General features: G+C 36.0%; 1 protein-coding gene across 57 annotated transcripts in view; it reads left to right on the forward strand.

Annotated features, from left to right (window-relative positions):
- PAM (peptidylglycine alpha-amidating monooxygenase) overlaps window positions 1–20356 on the forward strand; it is a 276323-nt gene that overhangs the window by 215674 nt on the left and 40293 nt on the right. For 22 of the 57 annotated variants that reach the window (NR_033440.1, XM_024446070.2, XM_047417242.1 and 19 more), the window contains 2 exons: window positions 3660–3980; window positions 19816–19945. Coding sequence is in view for 56 of the 57 variants with exons in the window: in XM_024446070.2 (XP_024301838.1) it covers window positions 3660–3980; window positions 19816–19945 (451 nt within the window). In the remaining variant the exon portion in view is untranslated. Of the gene's footprint in view, window positions 1–3659; window positions 3981–17061; window positions 17116–19815; window positions 19946–20356 lie in introns of all 57 variants that reach the window. The other 35 variants (XM_024446078.2, XM_047417245.1, XM_024446084.2 and 32 more) reach the window with 3 other exon arrangements.

The following is a 20356-nucleotide window of genomic DNA, read 5'->3' on the forward strand; positions in this document are numbered from 1 at the left end:
GGATATGTTATGTTAGAGGAGAGTCTCTCCCCACCTCCACAACAACTCAAGCCCTAAGTGAGTGTATGTATAGCCTGTGAGTCAGATATGAGGTAAAGAAGTTGTATTTATTAATAAAAAAGAAAAGAGAGAAGACAGGAGAGGCTTTAGGGAATTCTGGAGGAATGGCATTCAGAACAGTGGAGTAGAGAGAGTTCTTTTTCCAAAGATACGCTAAAAGAGATGGAGAAGGTACAGATACAGCCTCCTTTGGCAAAGCCAGTAACCAATTAGCTGTAGTAGCCACAGTGACTTATTAAGAAAATAGAGGGCTAGGAACCTAAAAGGGCTTTTTTTTTAATTTTATTTTTTTTACTTATTTATTTTTTGAGACTGAGTCTCACTCTGTCTCCCGGGCTGGAGTGCAGTGGCGTGATCTCAGCTCACTGCAAACTCTGCCTCTGGGGTTCAAGCAATTCTCGTGCCTCCGCCTCCTAAGTAGCTGGGATTACAGGTGCCCACCACCACACCTGGCTAATTTTTGTATTTTTAGTAGAGATGGGGTTTCACCACGTAGGCCAGGCTGTTCTCAAACTCCTGACCTCAAGTAATCCGCCCGCCTTGGCTTCCCAGTGCTGGGATTACAGGCATGAGCCACCGTGCCCAGTCCTAAAAGGGCTTTTTGTTTTCTATTACAAAAATCCAAATGTTTGACTGGAAAAAGGAGCTGATTTTTAAAATATTATATAAACCACAGGTTGAAGCAGATGCATGTTGCAATTAGTTTGTTTTTTCAGTCAGTAATTATAATAGCTATAATTTAGTGACACCTACTTTATGATATGTACTGGACTGGGTATTTTAATATTAGCTGTCTTCTTTAAATCTACAAAGTAATTTCTAAAGGTTATTGTCACTATCTTTATTAAGTTAAGTAGAATTTACTTAAAGGCACAAAGTAGAATTATTTCTTAGGGGCACAGAAATAGGGTTTGATGTGTATTTGAATTGAGGAGTTGCCATACAGGGAAAGACCAGAGTGCTATAGGTGCACCCAGCAGAGACCCCTGAGTTGAATTGTCAAGAAAGGCTTTTTTGATGTGACACCTAAGATCTGAAAGTTGAGGAGCTAGTTTATTAGTGGGGAGGGAGTGGTCCAGGCAGAAGAAACAATATCTTCTTAGAGTTGATATTCAAGGAAATGAAAAGCCAATATGAGTGGAACATAAACTGAAAAGAAAAAGGAAACATTGAGAGATGACACAGGGGTCAGGACCACCAACTTGCTTTATTTATGTTCTACTCCATCTGTTATATTCATTAGATGTATTTTCTAAATAAACATCTTAATGTGACTAAGAAAATTGGTTAACATTTCAGGATTCCATATTATATCTAGTACACTAGAAGAGGAAAAAACTCTTTCTGGTTTGCACATAGGAATGTAAGAGATAGCCATCTAGTGGTCTCTCTCTCATGTAACAAGATGTTTGTACAGATTCTGCTCTGAAACTTTATTCTGGCAAGGCCTGTGCAACTGTGTGCAGCCAAGCCTGTTGCATTATTTTAACAATTTTTGCTTTCCTAACCCAATAACAATTTTAAATGATAAATTCACATGAACTGGAGTGCTCTACCTTTGGTATTTTATCACAGCTTTTAGATTTCCTCTTACAAACCTGAATGACTATGCATAGTTCTGAACCTGTCTTCCTCCATCAAGATTACCCTAAACACAGAGGTTGCAGTGAGCCAAGATTGTGCCACTGTACTCCAGCCTGAGCGAAAGAGAGAGACCCTGTCTCAATAACAATAATAGCTTAAACATATGGATTCAAGTTTTTATTTAATTTTAATTTTTTTTGAGATGAGGTCTGTCTCTGTCACTCAGGCTGGAGTACCGTGGCGTGATCATAGCTCACTGCAGCCTTGAACTCCTGAGCTCAAGCAGTCCTCCCACTTTAGCCTCCCAAGTGGTGAGGACTATAATTGAATGCCACCACACCCAGCTAATTTTTTTATTTCTTAGAGAGATAGGGTCTCACTCTGTTGCCCAGGCTGGTCTCGAGCTCCTGGGCTCAAGCGATCCTCCTGCCTGGGCCTCCCAAAGTGCTGGGATTACAAATGTAAGCCTCCACTCCCAGCCTCAAGTTTTTAAATAATGGTTTATCTCTCCCTGAAATACTCTTGTATTTTATTTCCTAAATAAGACGTTTCATTGTACAAGCATATGAAACTATTTATATTTAATGTGTGGTACACGAGAATTTAGCAGTAATGAACTGTATTAATTTTTCTTCTGTGAGGCAGAATGCCACTGTGCCCTAACAGATTTGGTTGACTTATAATTTGCTTTGTTTATTTTACTGAGATTGGCCCTATTACTTGGTAATTATTTTCTGATTGAAGATTTCACCTGGGATAAGCTGATTTCACTGGCAAGAATTGAAAACCTACTTTGAAACATTAAACCAAGACTATTTGTAAACATGACAGAATCTCTTAGCATCATTTTGGAAAGACTTCATCTCCCCTTGCACCACTTTCTTAATAATATATTCTTCAGTGAAATACATCATGGCTAAACCAGTTATCATTTTCATTTCCTAATGGTCATGAAAAGAGATTTTATAAATGTTTTCTAATTGTGCTGTAAATGTAATTAAAACGTAAGCAACAGGACTCCATAGTCGTAAGTAATTTCATCATTAGCAGCACCTAGTATAGGATGAGGAAAAGGAAGAACTGGTGGTTGCCCTTGGGTTTGGTGTAGGAGAGCAGATTTGTGTTTTCATTGAGAATATGTTTACCATTCACACAGTTGATATAAATGGATTTGAAGTCATCGTGGAAATGATGAGGGTTAAAATACTTCATGAACTTTCTGTAGTCATATTTTGTATATGTGATAATATTTTACAAATAATTTGCTTTCATAGAATTGGAGTCTCATACCCAAGTTTACTCCTTAATACAGGAAGGCATAGAATGCATTTTAGTGATGAATCACCCTAATGATATCAGTTTATTAAAATCTTTTCCTTTGTTTGAAGCTGATTTAAAAGTATCCTTTGCTCAAAAAATTATTTTTCTCACTTGCTCATTTTTTGTTTAAGAGGAACAACTAGAGCTTACAGTAGCACTGCTAACAAAATAATAATAAAATTTAGGTTTCCCAGTTGTCAAATGGATACGTATTTACTTGTGTTTTACAGGAAATGTATATTTCCTGCTCAAGAAATGTATATTTCATTTCTTGTGGCTTGCACTTCAATAGGTTTTAAAGGACAACTGCAAAGAGTTTCTTGTGCAGATAGCTGTTATCTAATGTAGCTATTGATGATATTTTATTTTAGAAATCTGATGAGCTCTTAATTTCCGTATCAAACTATACTTTGAAAACCATTTATTGAAATGTGCCATGCAATTACATAAGCATTATTTTTTCTACTAATATGTCAATAGATGTTATACATAAAGAAATAGATGATATATGAAATAAAGTATTTCATCGGTCTAGGAATTTTTCTTTTTTTTCCTCCTATGCTTAAAAGTCTGAGTGCAAACTTCTCTCTTATTTATTATGAGAAATGAGTAGATATTTTTTAAAGCACCAAATTTTGTAAATTTTGCAATCTTATCTACCCTCCACGCCCTTATCTCTTCTCTTTTTTCCACAGGTGATTTCTATTCACTACTTTCCAAGCTGCTAGGAGAAAGGGAAGATGTTGTTCATGTGCACAAATATAATCCTACAGAAAAGGCAGAATCAGAGTCAGACCTGGTAGCTGAGATTGCAAATGTAGTCCAAAAAAAGGATCTTGGTCGATCTGATGCCAGAGAGGGTGCAGAACATGAGAGGGGTAATGCTATTCTTGTCAGAGACAGAATTCACAAATTCCACAGACTAGTATCTACCTTGAGGCCACCAGAGAGCAGAGTTTTCTCATTACAGCAGCCCCCACCTGGTGAAGGCACCTGGGAACCAGAACACACAGGAGGTGCGTGTAGGGTTTCTTTTAAGCAGTAAAGTGTGAAATGCTACAATCCACGTTAGCAAAACCTGAAGGGAATAAGAATTAATGGGTGAAAAAATTCATCAATGAAAAGGACTTATCATTAGAAAAAAATTACTCAGATTTGGGCTATCAGATAACATCTTTGAAGATTTTTTTTTGTTTTGGTTTTGGTCTATTACTGCATAAATTTAGTGTCTGTTCTATTGGTGAGCCAGAACTACAAGGACCAAAAAATATTTGGATCATTTGGGGAAAGGAGGCATATGAAATTCAGGATAAAAATTCTTACAATTGAATATTTTTCATTTTGCTCAATGGAAATACATTGAAAATTTAAAACCTGATATGTAAAGTCCCAGTTTAAGAAATGCTCATATACTGTCTCCTTGTAAGGTAATTAAATTCCTCTCAAATGAATCTTACACTTTCAACATTCTCATCCAGTTGACTTGTAAAATATAACCATTTTTATGATTTTGATTTCTTAAGTTTCATTATAAATTACAATCTTAATTGGAAAGTTGAGTATTTCTGAAGGGACCTCTACTAAGTCAATAACTATCAGATTTATCTTTATTTCTAGCCCAAATAGGCTTCCATAAGTAGAGGAAAATACCTTATTCCCTTCAGGTTTCCGTACCAGCAAGCTATGGATGCCTCATCTTTGTCTTTAATTGTGTTGTGGCCTCTGTGATATTGATTGCGTTTCATGTTACTTGCTAATGTGGAAAGCCAGATAATACAGCATGTGGAGATAATCTCCAAAAAAGTAACGGATATGCGTGCATGGCAGCTGTCCATGTGTGGGTTGGAATGGCACAGGCTGCCAGCTTGATGTTTTCAAATTCAGCTTTGTAGGAGGCCATAAATTATTCAACACCCAGCTGATTTTTATTTATAATTGAAAAAAAATTAGCATGCAGTGCCTTTTGTTCACATGAGAGTTTCAAAGCATAGTCCATTGGTACTGGCCTAATGGTTTCTGTGAGATGTTAACTGGAACCTGGATTTTTAACTTTTCATGTTTAAACAGGATCAGCCCTGCTCTAACTCATTCTGGATTTGACAAATAAAACTATGTTTCTCATGAGGTGGTCCCTGGACCTCCTTGCCTCAGAATCACCTAGGATGCGTAAGAAAAATTTAGACCCTGAATCCTATCAAAGAACAACTGAATCAGCATTTCTGAGTATGATGCCTAGAAATTTGCAGTTTATCATGCCCCTATCCATTTCAAAACACACAGGAATGTCTGCCTGAACTTATATTTTAAGGACAGTGAATTGTAACCCAGACAACATGGAAATATAAAAGGGAAAAGAGCCTCTTTGGTGGGAATACAATTGTGTTCATGTGTGAAATGTGAGTTGCAGCATGCTTTATTTATTCCATGACTTGTCTTTGTTATTCTTAGATTTGAAATGATATCATGGTCATTTGTAGGCATCAAGAGTGTCAGTGTCCCAGTCAGAATTTGACTTAAGATATTGCATTTCTGAAACTTACTCAGTTTTTCTACGAAATAAATCCTTAAAATACCCAAGTGCATGTACTTGGCAAATATCCTCATACTTTCCAAAGTGGTCAAATGGTAGTGCTCAAGAGAAAAATGCTTCTCTAGTATCTGTTTAGGGAAATTTCCTTCCTGTGAATGTCACTGACGTGAATAACATGAGTCATAGAAACATACAGCACAACTGCAAATTAATAAAGGAACATGTATTTCCTTTCTAAAATAATTTAATGTTATTTCCCTACTCTAATTACAAAAACTTTTAAAAAATAAAATGCAAAACAGAAAAACTCATATTTAGGTAAGCTGTTTCTAAAAGGCTTTTTCTTAATTCTCTTTCACCATTTACTGTAATGCAGTGTAATATCTAACTTTAATCGATGCTGTTTCATTCCTTTGGGTAAGCCAGAGGAAAACCTATCCTCAGGAAGCTTCCATTTTGTAAAAAAAAAAAGTAGGAAGTTATTAGCATATAAGGCCCTAATAAAACTTATTAGTAATCTAATTAATGTCTAGTCCTCAGGGTATAGTCAAAGAGAATAAATTTGATGGATAATTTTCCATTGTTTCTTTCATACCCTTCTCCAGGCAAAGCTGAGAATGAGCCTAATGGTCGGAGGAATTAACTGTTTCCCTAAGTGCCTAATTTACTATAAGGAATTGTATTTGCTGCATAGAAGAAAGTAACTTTTTATATGAGATTATTATAAAAACAAAAATGTCAGGCTGGTCTGTTGCTTAATATTATAGCTCATACTTATTTCAGATATCTTTGACATCTCTTGTTAATTTTCAAATAAAGAAGCTGAAGCCAGAAGTTAACCTGTTTGAATGAGGTCACAGATCTAAATCTGAAACTTGGACTTGATTATTTCCAATGTGCATCTTCTAGTTTCTTACATTTCAATACAGTTGTGCTCAATCAAAGAGATCCTAATGAGCTTGCCCAATTAAGATAAACTTCCCAAGAACACTGGACCCTCACTGCTTAGAAGATGGAGATTTCTATTCAGAACCCTGATCTGATGTCCCCAGTTGTTGACACCAGCATAATCTAATACAATGGTGTTTTCTGCAGCAGTATTTTAGATTTCATCAGTTGGTCTATATGTTGGAACTGTAATATGATGATGAAGCCCATCCAGTTGACCTGAGGGTTCAAAGGTGAAATTAATAGATCAGCTCAAAAATGTGGGTGTGACTATATGGTAGGCCTAGGAACACCTGAGGGTTTCAAAAACCATACTATTTTCTGAACCTTTAGTTTGGTCAGGATTCCACTTGTTTTCCACCCTGGCATCTGCCTTTAAAACTGGGTTCTCCACCTCGTTACGGGTTGGATATCAGTGGTCACCAAGCTACATGAAGAAGACAATAGAATGATATCTTCTGACTTAGCCCAGCTGAGAAAGTCCTTATCGTTCCCCAGAACAAGACGGTTAAATACTGTGTCTTATTGTATCTCTAGGAGTACAAATATCTGCGAATAGCATTTTTTTTAGGTTTTATCTTCATGACTTTTGGTGAAGATCTGAAAACTCTGAACAATTGTGAAAACAGCATTAGCAACAGAAACTTCCTGGACAAGTTCAGATACACTAGACCAGAGGTTTTCAAACTGTTGTTTGAAAGGAGACCCATCAAGTAGGAGGTAATAGTCACAGGCTTCCCAACACACACATGCATGTGCGCACACACACACACACACACACACACACACACACACACACACAAAATACAGCTTCCCCAAAAGCAGTTCTGTATGTGGCCAAAATCAAATTTGGAAACTACTTCATGGAGTCAGTATAATGTAGAATATTGCAAGTCCAGGTACCCGACTGCCTGGTGGCTTTGAATTCCAGCTATACAGTTTTCTATGTGGTCTCTATGCAAGTATAAAAAAATTCACTGGGCTTTAGTTTTCTCATCTATAAAATGAGATTATAATAGTATACTCCTCGCAGAGTTCAAGTGAGGGTCAAATGATATTATACATGCAAAGTGCTTTGAACAGTGTCGGCATGCAGAAAGCATTTGAAAATGTTATAGTACATTAACAATTGTGACTATTATTGCTACCATTACTGTCATGTTATGTTAGATTGAGATTTTTAAAAATGAAATACCAAAGTATAAATATTGATTATTTGATCTTAAGCAGCATTTGTGAGACAGAGAATTTTCTTGCAGTATGCAGGAAAGCAGCAAAATTTGGCACTCTAAGTTGATAAGTTAAGAAAAAAGTGACTTGGCAGTGTTTTATCACAGTGGGAACTTGTGGCTCTTCAAACATCTGATCACATACATTGATCTACCTTGATATTTGCATGTGATATATGACATACAGTGTGAAAATGCTAACCTCAATAAACTAAGAAGCAGATGTACTTCTTTTTAAACTTAGTATAGTTTAGTTTCTATCATTAATAGTTTAGATAGAGATAGCATTAATAGAGTAGAAACAAAATCTTAGGTATCTTTATTCTAGTTGCCCTCTGGAAACTAGACTCATTGAACATTTAAAAAGTAGAACTAACTATTCTAGTGGCAGATTTGATTGGACTACCACATACTTGCATGTGGAAGCCTGATTCAGTCTGTATTACAAACCTCTGGATGTGAGAAAATACACCTGTATTTGTGTGACAATTCTGATCAGATAAGAGGATTCAGAAGGTGTTCAATTATTCTTATGATACATTTAGTTTTTTCTTCATTTCTATGAACAACTTATACTTAATTTCAGAGTCCATTCTTATATTTCAGCCATAGTCTTACCTCTAGGTTCAAGTCTTGCAGAATTTTCAGGGTAAAATAAACCATTCAGTTGGCTGAATTTTGATCTCTGAGGGGAGGAGAATGGTTAAAAAAAAAAAAACACCTATACATAGCACTTACTTTGAGCCAAGCTTAGTGTTTTAGATGCATTGATTCATTAGAAAGGAAGAAAGTGATGAAAGGTTAAGTCACGTATCCGAAATTCCACAGCTCAAGAAACCAAGATGCAAAGCCAGGCAGACTTGCTCCCAAGTCTTGCTTCTTAATCACTCTGTTATTCTGCATCACACACACACACACACACACACACACACACGCACACACACATACACACAAACACCCTAGATATACAAATAGGAAGATGATTTTTTCTAGTCATCTGATTATCTCAGGCTACAATTGTAATAACTATAGGTATTATAGGTGTATTGGTCATGGTTTCCTGATTAGTATTCAGCCAGTTTGACCAATATGAAAATCTCATTTGCAATTAAAGAAATTTTAAAAAGGAAAAGAATACTGCTAATGCTTTTGAGCCCCTATTTATATGGTAAATCTCTTCCTCACTTCACTCCCATTAAATGAAGCATTATAATTAATTCTTGTTTTCTTTCTTACTTTGGTATAAATATTTCTACAATAGTTTTAGTTAATTATAGTTATTGCTGGCATTTCTGATGAATAACAATCCCTGACCAAAATAAGACATCCTTTTCTCAAAAGATGAAAATTTACAAGTACAGAAAAAGCAAGCACCATATTTTGTTTTTGTTGAAGTCTTCTAGTGATTTTTTTCAGTTCTATTTCTTAAAATTAAATGTGAAGAGCCTTGTTACACTGAAATTAATTCATAGTTCTGGGTTTGAATTTTTTCCTCAACTTTAGGTCTGTTAGTCTTTAGGTAACACAGATAAATGAATGCCCTTTCAAATACTTATTAATAATTTCATGTGAATGCAACAGTGATCACTAATATTAATCTCTTTCTGGAAAAGTATAATTTATTAATCTTTTTCATGATTAATTGATGCAATTTTAATAGCAGTATTTAATTTTTTTCTAAAAGTAGTAATTTCTTTTTCTGAATATATGGCAGGATATGCGGCTGTACATTAACCTTTATTTATAATAAATGTAAGGACGTAAGGATTCTTTATAGAATAATATAATTTATTTATCATAAAAAGTGTTATATGTCATTGGAAAAATATTTTAAGATTTCAGGGGTTCTTTCAACTTTTTAATCATCTTTTAGAAACAAAAACAAATTTGTATCAAAGCTACTAGGATCAATAGGTAATGTATATTTACCTTATTTTTCTAAAAGTATTGTTTCCAGTAATATGTTCTCAACATGTTCTCAACTCCAGATTTTAAAAACAAGCAATCAAGCTTGAAATAATTCTATCATTTGCTATCTGAATTTAGAGCAACTGACAAAGTTGGGAATGACTTGCCCAAGGTCATGGGTAAGAAATTTGTATTTAATTTTTAGGCTAACACTGGAAATCTGTAGCATTAACTAGTCATGTATTGAATCATTTCTTAAATAATAACCAAGAGAAATCTGAACTAGAATTTTTAACTTCTCTATCATCAAAAGTGTTTAAGGTAGAACTCAAATATATTTTATCATATAATTTCTTTAATAAGGATTTTAAATTGTTCTTAATTGGGGATTAGAAAATAATTATCCCTGAAATTGAGGCCTAAAGTCTGGCTCAAGGCTGAAGTTCCTTTCCTGTCAAATGAAGACAGTTATGTGGAATAATTCCGATACAGTTCTAGCATTCTCTGATTCTCATGTCGTGATGAGCAGGAATTGGAACAATAATCAATATTAATTCCACTTACATACACACTAGTCCTAAATCAATGCCTTTATTCTTGATCATTTCATCGTATAGGGAATAGCCTTTAACTACCTGATAATTAAAAATATGGTGACACTGGAAGCAAAAGTATTAATTAACTTAGCTAATATTCACAGAAAAAAACCATGAAGTTTTTCTTTAACTATCCTAGAATTTCTGGTTAATAAAGAGACTCAGATCCTGAAAGTTTTGAACACTTGGCTAAGTAATGTAAGTGTGCAAAGACAATTTAAAATAAAATAACAATAATGTAATATAATTTTTCCAAACATTCAGTACTAAGAGAACCAGGTTGCTCATGGTGTTAGACTTCATACATTTTTTTACACATCATCTTTACTGTTTTGAAAATTCACTAAAGGTGTATATTTTCATAAATATGTTCTAGATATTTACATTAATTTTCCTTCTTGAAAATTTCCAGCCTACAGGGGTTCTAATATGTGACAAATGAGTGTTTTTGTAATTGGTGAAGATAGGCTCAAAACAACCTATGCGTCCATATTTTTTTGCAGACTTCCAAGCACTTACCAGTTTAAGGGCATATGATAGTTGAGATCATTCATAGCCAGATTAAAGTTCTTTAAACAGTATTTCCAATATTTTATGAAATTCATATTTGGCCCCAAAATAATGCAATTTTTTAGACGTTGCATATTTTCTGTAAGAATAGTAACTCTGCATCTTCATGGGCACTTAGCTCCCAGTACCTAGTTGGCAGGCCACTGAATAGAAAGGTTCCAGAAGCCATTATATGTGTTTATTGTCTTTATTGATAGTAATCAGCCAATTAGCATTTTCATTGAGTATTCTCATAGTATCTTCAGCATTCTGCTATGGGTGAAAAGGTAGTACAGATGAATTATAAGGTTGTAGGGGAGTTTGAATGCTAATTGATACCATAAACAAGTAGAGACTAAAACATAGACTTTAATGCATTTATGAGGCCATACAGTAAGTAGGCCAGGCCCTGTGTGACAGTTGGTGACAAAACCATGAATAAGGGATGATCCTTGCCCTTGAAGAATTCTGTCTAGTTGTAGCAGTTCTGAGCTCTGAGAACGTGATGAAAGCAATTAAATATCTGCATTGTCGTGAGCTTTGAGTTCCCCTTGGAGCCCATCTAGAAGTTTCAGGAGTGGTGAATGAGTACCGAATTTTGACAACTACATGAGAGAAGAATGAATGAAGTGCAATCTGAGATTCAAGCAACTTTGAAATCATTTTAAACATTTGGTGGGGGAATGACTTATCCATCTGTTGATTTATCTAGTCATTTCTAAATCTAATGCCTATACTCTGTTTCCAGAGTTCACTTTCAAAAATACAGCATTAATCATGTCACCCCATGTTTTAAATTTCCCATGGACATACACCATCAGAGAGCCTGAAGACAGTTCCTCCCCACCCAGCACTGCCCCTGCCAGTGCCTGCCCACATCATTGAGGCCTGGGTACCAACCCAGCCTGCCGGAGTCCAGACACATTGTCCAGGGATCTGAGGATTCACCCGCCCTGTCTACCACCACTGGTGTCTGTGCACTCCTCCCAGGGGTCTAAGGATGGGTCTGTCAAGCCTGCCATCACCACTGCTGCCAGCACCCACCTGCATGAGCCACAGGGGGGCCTGAGGACTGGTCCTTCCAGCCCACTACCACCACTGCTGGTGTCCATGTGTATGACTTGGGGATCCGAGGATAGGTTCAGTGCTGATACTGCCTTTACTAATGCCATGCATGCCACCCCTGGGCCCAAGGACCTAACTGCCCATCCAGCCCACCACTGCCACTGCCAGAACCTGAGTAAGCTGCCTGGACCTGCTACCACTGATACCTGCCTACACCACCTAGGGGCCTAAAGCCTGTCATGCTCAGCTCACTGTTGCCACCAGTGGGGCCCAAGGATCAACCCACCTTGTGTCCTTGTCCTCAGCAAAGCCTCCTTAGCTTCTGCTAAAAACTGCAGCCTAAGCTGCTGAGGAACTCAGAGACACCACTGATGCTGATTATAGCCAAAGAAATCATACAGAGACTACTGTGTCCACTTAGAAGTAAAACCAAACCACCCTATTCAACCAACACTATAGTTCATCTATAAAGAAAAACATTTTTCCTTATGAAACCCAATCTATAAAACTGGAAGAAGCAACTGTTATACCACATATAGAGGTATCAATGTAAGGACACAAGAAACATGAAAAGGAAACATACCTCTAATGGAACACAATAATTCTTCAGCAACAGACTCAACAAAAAAGAAATCTATGAAATTCCTGAAAAAGAATTCAACATAATGATATTAAAGAAGCTCAGTAAAATAGAAGAGAACACAGATAAACAATACAAATAATTCAGAAAAACAGTTTATGATCTGAATGAGAAATTTGACAAAGAGATATTATAAAAAAGAGTGAAACAGAAATCCTGGAACTGAAGAATTTAATCAAATGAAATAAAAAATACAGTTGAGAGCTTCAACAATAGACTAGATCAAGCAGAAGGAAGAATTTCTGAATATGAAGACATCTTTTAAAATAACCCGGTAAGGCCAGGCATGGTGGCTTATGCCTGTAATCCCACAGTTTGGGAGGCTGAGGCGGGTAGATTGCTTGAGGCCAGGAGTTTGAGACCAGCTGGCCAACATGGCAAAACTCCATGTCTACTAAAAATAATAAAAATAAAACTAGCCAGACGGGGTGGCGTGTGCGTATAATTACAGCTACTCGGGAGGCTGAGGCATAAGAATCACTTGAACCCAGGAGGTGGAGATTGCAGTGAGCCAAGATAGCACCACTGCACTCCATCCTGGATGACAGAGTGAGACTGTCCAAAAAAAAAAAAAAAATCCTGAGATTTTAAAAAGAAAAAAAATATTTAAAAATGAAGAAAGCCTATGTAATATGATATATAGGACACTGTAAACTGACCAAATATCCTAATTTTTATTGTTCTATATTGTTCTAGAAAGTGTAGAGATGGGCAAAGGCATAGAAAACCTATTTAATGAAATAACAGCTGAAAACTTCCCGTTTTGAAAGAGATACAGATATCCAGATAGAGGAATCCCAGTGATCCCCAAATAGCTTCAACGTAAAGGGTCTTCTCCGAGACACATTATAGTGGAATTTTCAAAAGTTAAAAACAGAGACTAAATTCTAAAAACATCAAGAGTAAAGCATCAAGTCACATATAAGGAAACCCCCTTCGGACTAACAGCAACTTTCTCAGCTTAAACCTTACAGATCGGGAGACAGTGTAAATTGATATATTCAAAGTGTTAAAAGCAAAAAACAATTCATCCAAGAATACTATTCCCAGCAAAGTTTTCCCAGACAAGCAAAACTTGAGGGAATTCATTCGCATTAGAACATCCCTACAACAAATGCATAAAGAAGTCCAGATTTTACCTCTATAAGCAAAACAACAATATCTACCATCACAAAAACACAAGAATAAAATTCAGTGGCAGAGCAGACACACAAATGAGAAAGAGAAAGGACTCAAGTGTTGCCTCTGCAAAAAAATCAAACCACAATGATAAACAATAGGAAAGAAAGGAAAAAAAGGCTATACAAAACAACCAGAAAACAATTAACAAAATGACAAAAATAAATCCTCACCTACCGATAATAACCTTGAATATAAATGGATTAAGTTTCTCACTTATATAGACTGCCTTAATGGAGAGAAAAATATAACCCAACTATTTGCTGCTCGTAAAAACTCACTTCACCTGTAAAGACGCATAAAGACTGAAAGTGAAGGAATAGTAAAATATATTTCATGCAAATGAAAAACAAAAACAAGCACGAGTAGCTATAGTTGTATCAGGTAAAATAGACTTTAAGAATGGTAAAAACAACAAACAACAACGAAGATGATCATTATATAATGACAAAGAGATGAATTCAGCAAGAGGATATACCAGTTCTAAATATATATGCATATGCGTCACTGGTGCACAGAGATATATAAAGGAAATATTATTTGACCTAAAGGGTGAGATAGACTCCAACACAATAATGGTTGGGGACCTCAACCATTGTCAGCATCGGACAGATCATGTAGACAGAAAATAAACATTGGATTGAAACTGCGCTTTAGACCAAATTGGCCTAACAGACATTTACAGAACATTTTATCTAACAGCTGGAGAATGCACATTCTTTTTATCAGCACATGTAACATTCTCCAGGATAGACCATGTGTTAGGCCATAAAACAAGTCTCAACAAAATTTTAAAAATAGAAATTATATCAAGTATCTTCTTAGACCACAAAGGAAAAAACTAGAATTCAATAACAAGAACAACTTTGGAAGCTGTACAAATACATGGAAAGTAAACAAAATGCTCATGACCAACTATTGGGTCAGTGAAGAAATTATGAAGGAAATAAAAAAAAAAATTTGAAACAAATGAAAATGGAAACACAATGTACCAAGACCTATGGAATATAGCAAAAGCAGTGCTAAGAGGGGAGTTTGTAGCAGTAAATACCTACATCAAAGAGTAGAAGGATGTCAAATAAGCAACTTAACAATGCACTTCAAAGAACTAGGAAGCAGAACAAACCAAACCCAAAATTAGTAATAGGAAAGAAAAAGAGCAGAACTAAATGAAATAGAGACTAAAAAAATACAAAGGTCAATGAAAAAAAAGTTGGCTTTTTGAAAGATAAGCAAAATGAGTAAACTGCTAGCTAGACTAACCAAGAAAAAGAGGGAAGATTCAAATAAATAAAATCAGAAATGAAAAAGGTGGCATAGCAACAAATACCACAGAAATATAAAGAATCATTAGAGATATACTGATTTCTGTATGAAAACTGTATTAGCATACAGTTTTCAACAATTGTATGCTAATAAATTAGAAAACCTAGAGGAAATGAGTAAATTCCTGGATGCATATAACCTACCAAGCTTGAACTAGAAAGAAATAGAAAACCCGAACACACCAATAACAGGTAATGAGATTGAATCAGTAATGAAAAAAATCTCCCATCAAAGAAAAGCCCAGGACCAGATGGTACTGCTGAATTCTACCAAAATTATAAAGAACTAATAACAATTTTTTCAAACTATTCCAAAATATGGAAGAAAAGGGAATTCTTCTTAATTTATTCTATGAAACCAGCATTATCTTGACTTCAAAACCAGATAAGGATACAGTGAAAAAAGAAAAGAGCAAGCCAGTATCTCTGATGAACATAAATGCAAAATCCTCAACACAGTACTATCAAACCAACTTCATAAACACATCAAAGAGATAATGCATCATGAGCAAGTGAAATTTATTGCTGGGATATGAGGATGGTTCAACATCAAAAAATGTGGTACAGCACATCAACAGAATGAAGGACAAAAACCATATGATCATATCAATAGATGCAGAAAAAGCATTTGCTAAAATTCTATTTTTCTTCATGACAAAAACTCTCAATAAATTAGGCCTAGAAGGAATATACTTCTACATAATAAAGTCCCCGTAGAGCAAACCCATGGCTGACATACTGAATGGAGAAAAGAGGAAAGCCTTTCCTTTAAGAAGTGGAATAAGACAAAGGATGGCCACTTTGACCATTCCTATTCCGCATAGTACTAGAAGTTCTAACCAAAGCAGTCAGGCAAGAACAAGAAATAAAAGGCACCCAAATCAGAAAAGAGGAAGTCAGATTAGTCCCTCTTTGTAGATGACGTGATCTTATATAGAGAAAAACCTTAAGACTTCTCCAAGAAAAGTCTTAGAACTTATAAAGTAATTCAGTAAAGTTTCAAGACACAAAATCTCAACATGTGAAAATCAGTAGCATTTTTATACACCAATAATGAACTAGCTGAAAAAGAAATCAAGAAAGCAGTCCTATTTACAATAGCTTAAAAAAATACTGATGAATAAATTTAACCAAGGAGATGAAAGATCTCTTCAGGAACTACAAAACACTGATGAAAGAAATTGAAAATGACACCAAAAAAATGGAAAAATATTTCCTGCTCATGGACAGAAAAAAATCATATTGTTAAAATGACAATACTACCTGATATGGTTTGGCTGTGTACCCACCCAAATCTCATCTTGAATTGTAGCTCCCACAATTCCCATGTGTCATGGGAGGGACCCAGTGGGACGTAATTGAATCATGGGGTCAGTTTCCCCCATACTGTTCTCGTGGTAGTGAATAAGTCTCACGAGATCTGATGGTTTTATAAGGGGAAACCCCTTTTGCTTGGCTTGCATTCTCTCTTGTCTGCCAGCATATAAGACATGCCTTTCACCTTCCACCATGATTGTGAGGCCTCCCCAGCCATGTGGAACTGTAAGTCCATTAAACCTCTTTTTCTTTATAAATTACCCAGTCTCAGGTATGTCTTTATCAGCAGTGTGAAAACAGATTAATACAATCTACAGATTTAGTGCAATCATTATACCAATGACATTTTTCACAAAGGAAAGGAAGTCAATCAAAGGGATAACTGTACCCCCATGTTTACTGCAATACTATTTACAGTAGCCAAGATATGGAATCAACCTAAGAATATATCAGCAGATGAATGGATAGAGAGAAGGTGGTGTATGTACACAATGGAATACTATTCAGCCATAAAAGAATGGAATCCTGTCATTTGCAGCAACATGTGTGAAACTGGAGGTCATTATATTAAGTGAAATAAGCCAAAAATAGATAAATACCATATTCATACTCATATGTGGAAGCTTAAAAAGTTGATCTCATGGAGGTAGAGAATAGAATGATAGTTACCAGAGCCTGGGAAAGATTCAGGGGAATGGAGACAAGTTGGTTAATGGGTACCAACATGTAGAGAGATGAAATAACTTTTAGTGTTTGATAGCACAGCAGGGTAAATATAGTTAACAACAATATATTGTCTATTTCCAAATAGCTAGAAGAGAAGATATGAAATGTTTCCAGTGCAAAGAAATGATAAGTGTTCAAGGTGATGTATATTCTAAATACCCTGATTTGATCATGCTTGTATCAAAATATCACATGTACCCTATAAATATGTACAATTATTTCGTACCAATAAAACATGTTTCTAAACCTTCAGTGGCTCCCAATTGCCGGTAGCAGCCATTTGCAATTGTTCTCCCTTTTGTGACAAGCAAGGGTGATAGATGATAGATACTGTTCATCTGAGCAGCTCCATTCACATCCACTTCTATACCTAGGATTATTTGCAAATTCAGGCATACCAGCTGTCATTCTGCCCACCTTCTCTCCAAAAGGCATATCACAATACACATGAGTGACAATGACATTTTCATATGCTCTAAAATATTTCTAAAGCAAATTATTCCCTCTGTGCTTTACTGCTGCTAATAAAGTACTTGTAATGTACCTCAAAATTTTCAGTAGAAGTCAAGACACCACAGCTACACACTATATGATCATTGTTAAATCCAGCCTCCTTTATGTGGTATCAGCACATTTTCCAGTCTAAATCAGAAATCAGGGTCAGCTAATCCAGTCCCCAGCCCCCCATTCCACCTGACATACACACGTATCCTTTCCTGATTATTTTACAAAATCTTACAACACATTCTGCAATTATAAACATCCTCACTTTTATTCTTTTTGACCAAAATATTCTCTGCCCACTTCTACACTTAATGAATTCCACCTTACCTTTAAGTGCATACACCAACGTTTGCTCCCGTGGGAAACCTTTTAAGTAGACCTTAATCCTACCCTATCCCAGCCCTATCCTTGGGAAGGATTCTGGGCCCTCTCCTATATTCCTGTACTACTTTGTGTCATAAGTATTGGGTTCCTGGGTTTTAAAAACATTTTATTCTGTCATATTCCTATCCTATTATAGCCCTATTATATCCTTTTATTTACTAAGGCCAAAAACCACGTTTTATTCCTTTGCGTTCCCAGATTCTACCATAGTACCTTACATAGAAAATACGCTTAGGGAATAGTTGTTGAAGATGCTTCAGAAAAAAAAGAAGGAAAGGAAAGGGAAAGGGAGGAAAGGAAAGGAAAGGGAAAAAAAAGAAGGAAAGGAAAGGGAAGGGGAGGAAAGGAAAGGAAAGGGAAAAGAAAGAAGGAAAGAAAGAGAAAGAGAAAGAAAGAAAAGAAAAAAGGGAAGGAAGGGAAGGAAGGAAAGATGATGCTTCAGCAAAGGTTGAACTAATCTGGGCATCCTATTGTGCTATGTTTTGTTAATTTTTATTAAAAAAATGTACAAAGTTTAAAATATTTTGGGTGAAAAGGTACTTTTCTGTAGTTGACAGAATTATTTTGAAGTGCTTGTTCTCACACAAGCATCCTTTCAAGTTTTCATAGCTGATCATATAAGCTTTGAGCTTCTCTTTCTCCCCCCAGTCTTTAATGTCCGTCTTTGAGGATTTCACTGCATGTTGCCACATCCTTCAGAGTGGCAAGGAGGAATGAGACTCAAATTGCTGCTTTTCTCCTCAGAATCTTTGTTGAAGAATTTGGGAGGGACAGAAATATCAACGCTGATACAATAGCTTTCATAGTCATCTTCATAACTGTATATCCTCAATTAGTATAGATATATACATTGTACCCCTTTATCCGTGAGCGTGTTTATAAAAGGGATTAACACAAGTGAGGCTGGCTGTGGTAGCTCACACCTATAATCCCCACACTTTGGGAGGCTGAGGCAGGAGGATCACTTGAGCCCAGGAATTGGAGACCATCCTGGGCAACACAGTGAGATGCCATCTCTCGAATAAATTTTTTTTCAATTAACTGGGCATAGTAGTGCACACCTATTGTCCCAGCTACTCAGGAGACCGAGGTGGGAGGATTGCTTGAGCTCAGCAGGTTGAGGCTTCAGTGAGCTGTGACTGTACCACTGCATTCCAGCCTGGGTGACAGAGTGAGACCCTGTCTCAAAACACCCACACATGCAAACCCAGATATTCTCTGAAGATATATTCTGATCAGAAATAAGAATAATTTGGAAATCATTCAGTCACAGAGTTTCTGTCATTTTTTTCTTCTCTCATTTTAGGAAACCAAATATGAACAGTGAAAGAGAGAGTCCTATTCTTATAGGGTCACTGAAATTAGGAGAATGAGACTGATATCTTAGTTCTGTGTAACAAGGAATAATCAATGAGTGGTTTATTATGGGGGCTATTTTATACTGAATATCCAGAATTTACTCAGGAGATGATAGATTAGATAGATAGATAGATAGATAGATAGATAGATAGATAGATGAGGGAAAAGGACAGAGGAACACAGAGTGCCAGGCTTATTGCCCATTCTTCCTATTTATTTAAAACATTTAAAAGCGTTGTATTAAAATGCCATGTATGTTGTCGTATTTTCCAAAGAGAGTAAAGTAAAAATCTTGTTGAGAAGAAGGCTGTCTCAAATTTACCCTTTAATGACTTGGGTTAGCTGGCTTTACAGGCATCTTATCAAAAGGAGAAGAAAACAGTCCTAATGCAAGTTCCCAGTCACTTCATCACTCAGAAAGCTACTTGGAATGTGCATGTGGTATAATTTATGTAGAGCACGGCTTGATTGTCTTTTTTTATTTCTTTGCATCTAGTGATGTTATTGCATGAGCTTCTTGTAACTATTATGAATCCTCATGAGGCAATTCGACCTTTCCCTTTTACACTAAATGTGTGGATATATCTTTTAGATTTCCACATGGAAGAGGCACTGGATTGGCCTGGAGTATACTTGTTACCAGGCCAGGTTTCTGGGGTGGCTCTAGACCCTAAGAATAACCTGGTGATTTTCCACAGAGGTGACCATGTCTGGGATGGAAAGTAAGTAATATTTTTTCTTCAATAAGCAAATGAAAATAAAAATAGTGTACATAATTTTTTCACTAAACTAAGAATAATGGTGAGAGAACTATAAAGGTTTTTTAGAATTTGACTTTTATGAGCAAAATGTATTTGTCCTTTTAATGTCTGACTGTAGTAAGTAGCAGAGAGGAAGTCTTGTGTGCTTTAAAACAAAGTAGTTTCATGAAATAGTTTATGGAAAGAAGACAGTAACAATCTGTGATTCTACCCACTTACCATTTTGCTCCCTCCTGTTATCTATCTATAACATTAAAGATAGTTAAGCCAGTACCTTAGTGAAAATGTTCAAGACTTCAAGGAGAGTGCTTATGAAAAGTGATCAACTAAGAAAGGTTGCTGATGGACTATAACAACGCACTTTTGTTATTT

This window comes from Homo sapiens, chromosome 5, assembly GCF_000001405.40.
Source record: "Homo sapiens chromosome 5, GRCh38.p14 Primary Assembly".
Taxonomy (NCBI): Eukaryota; Metazoa; Chordata; class Mammalia; order Primates; family Hominidae; genus Homo; species Homo sapiens.